General features: G+C 41.4%; 1 annotated feature.

Annotated features, from left to right (window-relative positions):
- Positions 286 to 786: an enhancer, noted in NCBI's record as "H3K4me1 hESC enhancer chr1:167170747-167171247 (GRCh37/hg19 assembly coordinates)". NCBI's record gives its function as "activates a minimal SCP1, AML or CMV promoter by ChIP-STARR-seq in primed H9 embryonic stem cells {active_cell/tissue: H9 hESC(primed)}" and the evidence as "EXISTENCE:reporter gene assay evidence [ECO:0000049][PMID:30033119]".

Below are 12,661 nucleotides of genomic sequence, written 5' to 3' on the forward strand. Positions count from 1 at the left end.
GAAACCAGCCTGGGCAACATGGTGAGACCCTGTCTCTACAAAAGAATTCTAAAAATTAACTTGACGTGGTGGCATGAGCCTGTAGTCCCAGCTACTCGGGAGACTGAAGTGGGAGGATCCACTGAGCTGGGAAGGCAGAGGAAGTTGCAGTGAGTCGTGATCCCTCCACTGCACTCCAGACTGGGTTACAGAGTGAGACCCTGTCTCGGCTCGGGAGCGGTAGCTCACGCCTGTAATCCCAGCACTTTTGGAGGCCGAGGCGGGCGGATTGCCTGAGGTCAGGAGTTAGAGATTAGGCTGACCAACATGGTGAAACCCTGCCTCTACTAAAAATGCAAAAATTAGCTGGGTGTGGTGGCCGGCGCCTGTAATCTCAGCGAGTTGGGAGACTGGGACAAGAGAATCGCTTGAACCCTGGAGGCAGAGGTTTCCCTGAGCTGAGACCAGGTCATTGCACTCCAGCCTGGGCAACAAGAGTAAAACTCCATCTAAAAAAAATGGGGGCCGGGCACAGTGGTGGCTCATGCCTGTAATCCCAGCAGTTTGGGAGGCCGAGGTGAGCAGATCACCTGAGGTCAGTAGTTTGAGACCAGCCTGGCCAACATGGTGAAACCCCGTCTCTACTAAAAATACCAAAAATCAGCCGGGAGTAGTGCAGTCGCCTGTAATCCCAGCTACTCAGGAGGCTGAGACAGAAGAATCGCTTGAACCCGGGAGGTGGAGGTTACAGTGAGCCAAGATCATACCATTGCACTCCAGCCTGGGTAACAAGAGCGAAACTCCGTCTCAAAAAAAAAAAAAAAAAAAAGATTTGCCTCCTTTACCAAATGAGTTGTTGCGACTTTTATCTAAAACAATTAGAAAATTTGAAGGGAGCAATAACTCAAAAGCTGCTAATGCTGTGTGGATGACATTCAGTAAGGGAACAATGCTATGACTTAAAATAACATACTTCAATCTTTGTGCTAAGATCAGACATTGTCATATTATGCGTGCACGTGCTTGATCATGTAGATGAGATTTATGCAAATCCCTCTGGGAATGTATATGTGACACTTTTCAGAGTGTTCTGTGTCAGGGTTCTGAGTATCTCAATTAGAAGACTTTCAATGCTCAGTCTGGATACTTCTGCTGTTTCCACCTCAAAGATTAGAACTTCTTTTGAAACTATAACCTTGGCAGCTTTAATCTGCCCCCATCCCTATTCCTCATCCATCCACCTCCCCTCTGTCAAGTTTATTATCAGTACATACTTTTTAAAATCTTTGGAATGCAAAGCCATTTAATTAAGAAAAATTTGAGGGCACAACTATATAAAGGAGGTAAAAATCGCTAATATTAGTTAGTTAAAAATCTGCTAGGGGGCAGCTAGATTGAGAAATCTTGCTTTTGGGGTAGCCATTTTTGTAGCAAAATTTTTTACCTTCTCCAAGAGCAATGGTCTGTTGTGACTGTAGCAACTGATAGGAAATCCTAAGGCCCAGAAGCATCTTTTCAATATGTGGGGGTTCTTAAACATTAAGGGAAGATATTCTTAAGCATTTTCTTGAGCAGATGTGTTTTTAAAAATGCAAATGGATATAATCTCTGAATACTAAACCAGTGGTGAGCAATCTTTTTATATAAAAGCCAATGTAAAAACATAAAATAAAAAGTTTATAGCCTCCCACCCTCTCATTTTTTTCTAAATAAAAATGTCTTCATATTTTCTCTCATCATAAAAATGGTATAAATTCAGAAGAAAATTGACGCTGCTTTGTAGCCAATAAATATGAATATCTAGACCCGTTATGGAAGTAGCAAAGTGGAGTTTTTTTTCTAATCTTTTTATGAACTTAGATCAAAATGCAAGATGGGGAGCACGCAGCCCTCAAAGCCACAAAGTTTTTATCACCTTTGAGAAAGAATATAGTTTTTCCTTTAAATGTTGTCTCTTCTAAATTACTGTTGTAGGAAAATAACATGATTATATACTTGAAAATCATAAAAGAATCACATTTAAAATGACCCTAACTGAATTCAGTATGGGAATTAGTTTAAAAATAAATAAATAAATAAATAAATAAATTTTTTATTTTTGAGACAGAGTCTTGCTCTGACACCCAGGCTTGAATGCAGTGGTACGATCTCGGCTCACTGTCACTGCAACCTCTACCTCCTGGGTTCAAGTGATTCTCCTGTCTCAGCCTCCCGAGTAGCTGGGCTTACAGGCGCACATCATCATGCTGAGCCAATTTTTGTATTTTTAGTAAAGACAGGGTTTTATCATGTTGGCCAGGCTGGTCTTGAACTCCTGACCTCAGGTGATCCACCTGCCTCAGCCTCCCAAAGTGCTGGGATTACAGGCATGAGCCACAGCGCCTTGCCTAAAAATAAATTTAGAAGTGTGTCTCTCACACACGCACACACACACACTTATACACATATATGCACATACATACATATACACCCACGTATACACACACACACACACACACACACACAAGAGGACTTCAAAAAGCTCATGGAATAATAGAATTAAAAGAAAAAGATAAAAATATAAATATAAGCTTTACTTCTCAACATAAGCTCCATCAAGTTCAAGACACTTTTTTTAAATGATGATACCTGCCATTTAGTCAATCCATAAAGAACTGCACGTCCTGGGAATTTAACCATCAAAGCAGTCTTTTAAAATATAATTTAATGAAGAAAAATGGATGCCCTTTAAAGACTTTTTTTTTTTTTGAGACGGAGTTTCATTCTTGTTGCGCAGGCTGGAATGCAATGGTGCGATTTTGGCTCACTGCAAACTCTGCCTCCCAGGTTCAACCGATTCTCCTGCCTCACCCTCCCAAGTAGCTGGGATTACAGGTGCATGCCACCATGCCCACCTAATTTTTGTATTTTTAGTAGAAATGGGGTTTCATCATATTGGTCAGGCTGGTCTCGAACTCCTGACCTTAGGTGATCCGCCCACCTCGGCCTCCCAAAGTGCTGGGATTACAGGCGTGAGCCACTGCACCGGGCTTGAAGATTTTTTTAAGATTAAGAAACAAAAATAAGTCAGAAGCAGCCACATCAGGATGGTATGGTGGATGCCTAATGATTTCCCATTGAACCTCTTGCAAAATTGCCCTTGTTTGATGAGAGAAATGAGCAGGAGCATTGGTTGTGGTGGAGAAGGACTCCCTGGAGAAGCTTTCCTGGGTGTTTTTCTGCTAAAGCTTTGGATAACTTTCTCCAAACACTGCCATAATAAGCAGATGTTATTGTTCTGTGGTCATCCAGGAAGTCAACAAGCAAAATGCCTTGAGCATCCCAAAAAGCTATGGCCATGACCTTTGCTCTTGACTGGTCTGCCTTTGCTTTGTTCTTTTTTTTCAAGATGGAGTCTTGCCCTGTTGCCCAGGCTGGAGTGCAGTGGTGCAATCTCAGCTCACTGCAACCTCAGCCTCCCAGGCTCAAGCGATTCTCCTGCCTCACCCTCCTGAGTAGCTGGGACTACAGGCTTGGGCCACCATGCCCAGCTAATTTTTGTATTTTTAGTAGAGATGGGGTTTCACCGTATTGGCCAGGATGGTCTCAAACTCCTGACATCAAGTGATCCCCCTGCCTCAGCCTCCCAAAGTGCTGGGATTACAGGTGTGATCCACCACGCCTGGCCTCTGCTTTTGCTTTGAGTGAACCACTTCAACCTCTTGGTAGCTCTTGGTAGCCATTGCTTTGATTGTGCTTTGTCTTCAGGATAGTACTGGTAAAGCCATGTTTCATTTCCTGTTATAATTCTTCAAAGAAATACTTCAGGATCTTAATCCCACTTGTTTAAAATTCCATTGATTTGTAGGCCTAGACCTGAAAAGAAATAAAATAAAATAATAAAATTTCCATTGAAAGCTCTGCTCTTGTCTGCAGCCAAGTTGGGTGCAATGGTTCTGGCACCCATTCAGTAGAAAGTTTGTTCAACTTTAATTTTTTTTTTTTTTTATTGAGACAGTTTTTCACTCTTGTTGCCCAGGCTGGAGTGCAGTGGCACGATCTCAGCTGACCGCAACATTGTCTCTCAGGTTCAAGCGATTCTCCTGCCTCAGCCTTCTGACTAGCTGGGATTACAGGCACGTGCCACCATGCCTGGCTGATTTTGTATTTTTAGTAGAGACAGGGTTTCACCATGTTGGTCAGGCTGGTCTCAAACTCCCGACCTCAGGTGATCCGCCTGCCTTGGCCTCCCAATCAACTTTTAATTTTTCAGTCAGAATTGTGTAAGCTGAACCAGTTGAGATGTCTGTGGTGTTGGATATTGTTTGTGCTGTGAGTCATTGGTCCTGTTCAGTTAGAGAACAAACAAAATGAATATTTTCCTGACAAACTGATGTAGATGATCTGCCACTGCATTCATTTTCAACATGCTCTCACCCCTTACTAAAATGAGTTACCCATTTGTAAACTACTGGTTTCTTTCAGGCATGTCCCCCCTAAACTTTTCATAAAGCATCAGTGATTTCACCATTCTTCCACCCAAGCTTCACCATAAATTTGATGTTTGTTCTTGCTTCAATTTTAGCAGAATATGTTGCTCTGATAGGGGCTAATTTCATACTGATGTCTTATCTTTCTAGTGCCTCAAACTTATCCCATTTAGACATGTTATAACAAGTTAGTATGAGTTTATTTTGGTACAAACATTTTTTGAAATCCATGCATAGTTTTTTCATAATACATACATTTCGTGAATTTTAAAAGACCCTGCATGTATATGTGTTTGTGTGTGTGTGTGTGTGTGTGTGAGTTCAAGACCACCCTGGCCAACACGGTGAAATCCCGTCTCTACCAAAAAACACAAAAATTAGCCGGGCGTGGTGGTATCCACCTGTAATCCGAGCTACTCAGGTGGCTGAGGCAGGAGAATTGCTTGAACCCAGGAGGCAGAGGTTGCAGTGAGCCAAGATTGTGCCACTGCACTCCAGCGTGAGTGACAGAGTGAGAACCTGTCTCAAAAAAAAACAAAAACAAAAAACAACAACAACAACAAAACCTTAAGTATGTCAAAATACACATTATGGGTCTTGATGCTCTAGCCGAATGCCAGACCCAGATTCTAGTTGAGTGTGTCTGTTGACCAGCTAGCAGCTCGAGGAATCTGTTCATTGTCATGCATGTTGGGGAGGAGCAGTTGAGAAGGTGTGTGAGGTGGGTACCTGGAAAAGAGAGAGCAAACAGTTAAGAATGGTGTCTGTTCTCCAACTGACCTCAAGGGAAGGAAGGGACAATTCAAAGTTGAAAGAGTAGTTTCCTTAAGGTTGTTGGTGGGACTTGAGGCACAAGCAGTGATGTCTCTGGGCCAGGAGACAGATTTCAACACAGTGACAGAGTGAAATGCTCTCTCCCCAGCTCAGCTGAATACTCAGTACAAGAAGATCACCAGGGGCCCAGAAACTGTTTGGTATGCCCAGGGGTTTGTGGCTGTGACAGCCCTAGGAGGCAGCCTTCTTCTGGCTGAGAAGAATGGCAGGTGACTCTGTGCAGAGTGAAACATGAAAGGACAGCTTTGAATGAGGTGTGCTTATGTCCTGCAATGATGAGGATAGGTGCTGGGAATAGGAACTTTTGGACTATTGAAGAAAATTTGAACCCATTTGTATTCAGAGGCTAGTGAGGTCTTGAGACATCTGGAATATCTGATACAATGTGGTTTATATGGATTATTTTTTAACAGAAGAAAGAGGATTAAATTATAATACATAATGACACCTCACTTATTTCACATTATGAGGAAATGTGATATTCCAGTAAGTCAATTTTCCAAATAATTGAAACAGCTCTTTAAGATTTAAAACATTTTAATGTTTTTAATGGAAAGTCTGCCAAAGTATACTGTACACTTTGCTTGCTTCTCAGAGGGGAAAATGAATTTAATGATTCCAAGTCATTGTGAGCACTGATGACTTTTTGTATTCTAGTATGGCAAGGCCCTGAGGATCTGATGACATACCTAGGGCTATTTTCTCTTAAGATAAATAGTCCCTAGCCTGCCATGCTCTCTGAACTCTTGTATCCACTTTTGGTAGGTTTGCTCTCTCCATTGTTATTAGACTGTCAAGAGACACTTGCTTTTCTCAGGGAGACAGTTTCTAGGCATCCACTTTACCCTCATTAACCTTTTAATTTCATCTTTAATCTGCTTTGGATATAGAAATTGCATGACTCATGTGAAAATCCTGGCTTAAAAAAGATGGAGTTCTAACTTCTGACAAAGGGTTGGAAGGGTTTGCCTAGGAATGAAGTGCGAGTTTTTAAAGCAGTTATTTTGTCTATTTGGAAGTATTTTAAATTTACTTTTGGTCTTGGCTGTGTTCCTCCACATTGCAGTTATTGGACTGGGGACTTTCAGAGAAGTGGTTTTTAATATATGTACACAATTGGGATGCTGGGGAGAGGGGAAAAGATTATTGTAGCCCTCTATCTCACCCAGATCAACATTATCTTATTCATTTTATGGAAATTGTAGTTAATATTCTGAATTAATTAGATTGTACAATCAGTTTCAAAAGCATAATGCAGTGGTGTATAAAATTTAATAATGTATAAAACTTGTTATGGAAATTTAAAATTTTAGGGCCAAGATGGAATTCAAACATGAATTTTGTATGAAGAAATGAAACAAAATAGTTGTGTTAGAGTAATTTTCTTTATTATTAGGGAAAAACATCCACAGCATCATTTAAATACTATACCATTCATCACATGTAATGCTTCCCAGCAAACTAATTTAAGGTGGACTCTAGACTCGATAAATATCAAAAGAGTATATCACAGTCCTCGCCTCTGCCTGTTTTCCTTTTGAAGATCAGCAGGCTTAGTAAAAACAGATTTCCTAAAATAAGCATTATCATATACAGAGAAGACTGGAAATCGTAAATGATGTGAGCAACTTCCCTTGATTATGACAGGAAGCCTGCATATATAATCTTTGTAGTGAATAAACATCTCCAATTTCTAGTATTATATCATCCAATTCCAGGAAAACATTATCATAATATGAAATAGATGAGAAAGTAAGTAGCAATCAGAACTATCTGGCAATGAGAAACACTAGGTTTTCTTTCTCTTGAGTCAGAGCAGCTTTCCTTAGTGAGAAAAGCTGATGTAAGGTGGTTCCACATTCAAATTTCAGTGCCTGAGCAACTTCGGGTAAGTTACTAAATTTCTCTGAACCTCAGCCCTTCTGACCATTATGCATTGGAAATAATGCTTCCTTCCTGTCTTAATCTGTTTTGCATTGCTATAACAGAATACCCGGGGCTGGGTAATTTATAAAGGAAAAAGGTTTATTTAGCTCGTGGTTTTTTTTTTTTTTTTTGGCTCCAGACTGTCCTCTGGTGGAGCTTTTGTGCTGCATTGAAACATGGAGGAGAAGGTCAAAGGGGAAGCAAGCATGAAGAGGGACCAGACCAGAGGGGCATCCTGGATTTATAGAAACCTACTCTTGGGGGAACTAATCCATTCCTGTGAGAACTAAACCAGTCTCACCAGAGCAAGAAATCACTCACTGCCACAAGGACAGCACCAAGATATTCAGGAAGGACCTGTCCCCATGACCCAAACACCTCCCACCACACCCTACTTCTCAACACAGACACACGGGGGAATCAAATTTCAACATGAGATTTGGTGAAGACAAACAAACCATATCCTAACCATAGCACTTCCCAAGAATGGCATAAGATTTAACTGAGGTAATGTTACTGAAATGCCAGGGGTTCACTCTAGGTCCTTCTGCTTGCCACACAGAAAGCCAATCACTGAGACAATGAGTATGACTAGGGAAGAAGTCTTTAATTAGGTGCTGCAGCCAAGGCAATGGGTGATTGGTCTCAAATCTATCTCCCTGACTAACTAAAATTAGAAGTTTATATAGCAGGGAAGAACTATAACCACGTATGGGAAAACAAGAATTAGTGAGGGGTAAGGAAGAGGAGTTGGTCAACAGGAAGCAGGTGGCTGGCTAGGCACTCATGACAGGTGAGGGGTCTGGTGTTTCACTGTCCAGATGCAGTGATCTGGTAAGTTTCAGTTCCTTGATACTATCTGGGAGGGCTGATGTTTGGTTTTCTGAGAAAGGAACTCAGATAAAATAAATGTTTAGTGCTTCAGTGGAAGTTTATATATATGTAACTTTCCCAAGTTTCAAGACTGGGAGGATGAATTTCTATGTTTATTCAAAAGAAACCATAAACATCAGTTCTAGGGACAATTGGGCTGGCTTCAGTCATGCACATTTAGCCCTTTCCTGTACCCTACATCCCCTCTATTTGAAAGCAGTGGTCCTACACTCAAACAGTCTTCAGGTCCTCACCTCCAACCATGACCTCCCTCTTGTATGTCTTGTCTTTCTAAGGGATCCCCAGTCACCCACCCAAAAAGCTAGTGGCTGTCCAAGGCTCCTCCTTTGCCTTCATCCTCCCGGCTCTGAACAACTCCTGGCCACTGATTCCTGTCTGAGTTAGGAGTTAGATGCATCTGCTCTGAGCTCCCCTGATCTACACGTACTTCACAATGTGCACTTTACCCACACTGGTGAATGCTCAGTAGACTCAGATTGTCTTGCAGGAAGGACTTAGGGTTTTTATCTCTGAATAATGATATTTGTGGAACTAAAGTGAAATAAAAGAATAATAGCTCAATAAACCTCAGTTTGCATTCTCCCTATTATTTCTTTTGCTCAAGATGCTGACTTGTGTGGCTTTTGTGTCTGGCTCTTGCCCTGCCTACATGTAGGACTGGTTTCTGTGGGTATTTCTGGTGAGATCTCAGAAGTATCTCACAAAATCCTATCAGTACACACAATACAGGGAGCACTAAGAAAGCACTGCAATCCCCATCTTACAGGGGAGGACCCTAGTGTACAGGGGCTTTCAAGATCTTCGTGTGAGGTTAAACAGTCAGTGAGAGGCAAGCCTGGGATCAATCCTGGGTGTGGCTGATGCCAGTACCCACACATAACCATTATCATAACTCTATTCCCTCCTCAATAGGTGTGATCAGTTACCCATGGCATCCTCATTTTACACTCCTTCGTCTACTTAAGCTTCCCTTTCCAAGCACTGCTAGTGCTTTTGATTGGTGCTTCTGATGCCTCTCACAAAGCACTGCAGTCCTCAATTTGCCAGAATGGGGCAGATTGTTCTCTCTTGCTCTTTTGTTCATTCAACTTTGTCAGAGGATTATTAAAGCTCCTTGTACCCCTATGTCCCCTAGAAAATTTCATGAAGTGGGCAGAAATTCAGCGGATATGCTCTGGCCTTGGGCACAGCTGGCAGATGCCCTGATGGATTAGGTGCCAAATTGGATAAATTACTGGGTGTGGTGGCTCATGCTTGTACTCCCAGCACTTCGAGAGGCTGAGGCAGGAGGACTGCTGGAGTCCAGGAGATTGAGACCAGCCTGGGCAACATAGTGAGACTTCATCTCTACAAAATAAAATAATTGTCTGGGTATGGTGGCATGTGCCTCCATAAAGGATAAATTGTCTTAATATAAGTTAAACATAACTTAAACATAAATTAAATACAAATGTAATTCCCCATTTATTTAATATTTAAATTAAATATAACATATTAATATATAAACACATGTATTTCGTTTTTGAAATATATATTTATATCCATCCAATGTATATATTTGTTTTGAAGCCTCTTTCTCTTATTTGTTGTTTACTAGTTTTGTTTTGTTTTTTGGTTTTTTTTTTTGAGATGGAGTCTCGCTTTGCCGCCCAGGCTAGAGTGCCGTGGTGCAATCTCAGCTCAGTGCAACCTCCGCCTCCTGGGTTCAAGCAATTCTCCTGCCTCGGCCTCCCAAGTAGCTGGAATTACAGGTGCATGCCACCATGCCCAGCTACTTTTTGTATTTTTAGTAGAAATGGGGTTTCGCCATGTCAGCCACGCTGGTCTCCTGACCACTCCTGGCGCTCCTGATATCAGGTGGTCCGCCCGCCTCGGCCTCCCAAAGTGCTGGAATTTCAGGTGTGAGCCACTGCACCCGGCCTGTTTACTAGTTTTACATTTACTTCCACCCTACTTCTCAAGCTTCTAATCTATAACTAGATCTTAGGAGAATGATCCAGCGGGTGGTTTTACTGACTTCCTGGTTGTAAGACTGTGTCTTTGTCTTCCTACTTGGCTAAATCTTCAACATCCTATAAAGCTGTAGCCCCAGGCAGAAGTTAGGCCACAATTTTACTCAGCCTCCATTTACAAAACTGTGTGGGAGTGTGAAATGACATAGGTACAAGGCTGTTCATTGTGATATTGAGAGTAACAGAGAACATTTATCTGTAAATAGCATGTGTACAGCAAGAGAGGACTCGAGTAAACCACGGTTCACGCACACAATGAACTACACAGAGCTATAAAAAAGAAAGTAAAATCTCCATGTCCTGATATGGAACAATCTTCTGTACATACAGTTAAGCGACAAAAGCAAGGTATAGAACAGTGCATATGGTGTGCTATCTTTTGTGTAAAAGGGTATGCTATCCTTTTAAGAAAGCGAGAGACACCACATGCCTGTGGTCCCAGCTACTTGGGAGGCTGAGGTAGGAGAATCACTTGAGCCCAGGAGTTTGGGCTGCAGTGAGCTATGATTGCGCCTGTGAATGTGAATAGCCACTGCACTCCAGCTTGGGCAACATCATAGAGAGATCCTGTCTCAAAAAAAAAAAAAAGGAAGAGAAATAAGAATATATATAGTTGCGAGAAGAGCCATTGGAAGAATACACAACAAACCAATAAAAATGATTTCCTAAAGAAGAGGGAAAGTGAGACTGGAGTAAACATGAGATTTCTCTGTATCATAAAATGCTATAGTTTGAGTTTTGAATTTTGATTTATGTAATATGTAGATATTAAAATATCTACCAATTACCAAAATAAAAAAAAAAAGAGTGTGTGTACCTGTGTGTAGAGGGCAGGATGCTTCCAAGCCCAGAGCCTAGTTCCAAGCCCATTTTAGCACCTCTTTGTGGTGCTAAAATTCCAAGTACCACTGCCTGCCTCAAGGCAGCTAACCTACTCCTGGTCTGCATTTATGTGCTCTTCCTGGTTTGTGGAAATGATTATTGCTTTTGAGTCTGTTTCTTTTTGGTTTTCTCTTTTTCTATTTCATCTGTCTTGCTGAATATTTGGAGCAGAGGAAATGTTTAGATTTGTGAAACTATTGTGCCATTGTAAGTCCTTTTCCTTTAGTTTTAACCCTTATTATTGAAAATCCTTTAAAAATATTTTTTTCTTACCTTACAAAGTCCAGCACACTCAGAATTACTAAACATTTCTCAGATAACAAAACATAATAGAATGAACTTTATAACCCTTAATTATCAGTATAAAATCATTACATTTCATAGAGTTTAAAATGTCATTGTAAGATGCACCATTATTTTATGTACCATTAGAAAATGCTGCCAAGGCCCAGCGTGGTGGCTCACGCCTGAAACCCCAACACTTTGGGAAGCCGAGGCAGGAGGATTGCTTGAGTCTAAGAGTCTGAGAGCAGCCTAGGCAACATAGCAAGACCCTGAGTTTACAAAAAATAAAAAATTAACTGGGTGTGGTAGTGCACACCCCTGTAGTCCCAGCTATTTGGGAAGCTGAGGTGGGAGGATCACTTGAACCCGGCAGGTCGAGGCTGCAGTGAGCCATGATCACACCACTGCACTTGGCCTGGGGGACAGAATGAGACCTTGTCTCAAAAACAAAAAAATGCTGCCAATTAAACTATGATACAGTGCTTTCTTATCAAACCTTTGTAAGGTGCATCTTGATGTCAAAGATATTAAAATGTGAAGAATTGTGCATCTGAATGAGTAAAATAAAGAATTATAGTTGTAGACTTGGAAAATAAAAAGGTTGAACTAAATGTGACTGATCCTAGGATGTTCCAGAAATCCAAAGGAAATATTTTGCCTAGAGTAATGTCAAGTATATGGTAGGTACTTGATGAATGTTTATGAATAAATAAAGGCTTTTTACAAGACATTGGATGGTCATTAAAACACAGCGAGAAGTAGGCAAGAAAATTTGTTTTAAAAATGTTGGCCAGGCGCGGTGGCTCACACCTGTAATCCCAGCACTTTGGGAAGCCAAGGCGGGTGGATCATGAGGTCAGGAGTTCAAGACCAGTCAGGCCAACATGATGAAACCCCATCTCTACTAAAACTACAAAAAAATTAGCCGGGTGTGGTGGCAGGCGCCTTTAGTCCCAGCTACTCGGGAGGCTGAGGCAGAGAATTGCTTGAACCTGGGAGGTGGAGGTTGCAGTGAGCCGAGATCGTGCCACTGCACTCCAGCCTGGGCGACAAGAGTGAGACTCCGTCTCAAAAACAAAAAAAAAAAAAGAAAAAATGTTAAGCATCGACTCTGTCTAGGCCTGTACTGTAACATTAAGAATAAGAAGATAAAAAAAAAGAAGATATAGTCTAGTCTTTGATAGTTTATACTCTAGTGAAGGAGACAAATGTAACACAGTCTGACAATCAGAGGAGAGATGGGGACTGAAGGAGTAGGTTGTCTTCAGAGGGATATTAATAGTTGAAATTGGGACAGATAATGACACCAAACAGGCTTGCAACATGAGAGGGACACAAGCAGAACCTCGGAGAGTACCTATATTTAATGGGAAGAAAAAG

This window comes from Homo sapiens, chromosome 1 (assembly GCF_000001405.40).
Source record: "Homo sapiens chromosome 1, GRCh38.p14 Primary Assembly".
In the NCBI taxonomy this organism is placed as follows: Eukaryota; Metazoa; Chordata; class Mammalia; order Primates; family Hominidae; genus Homo; species Homo sapiens.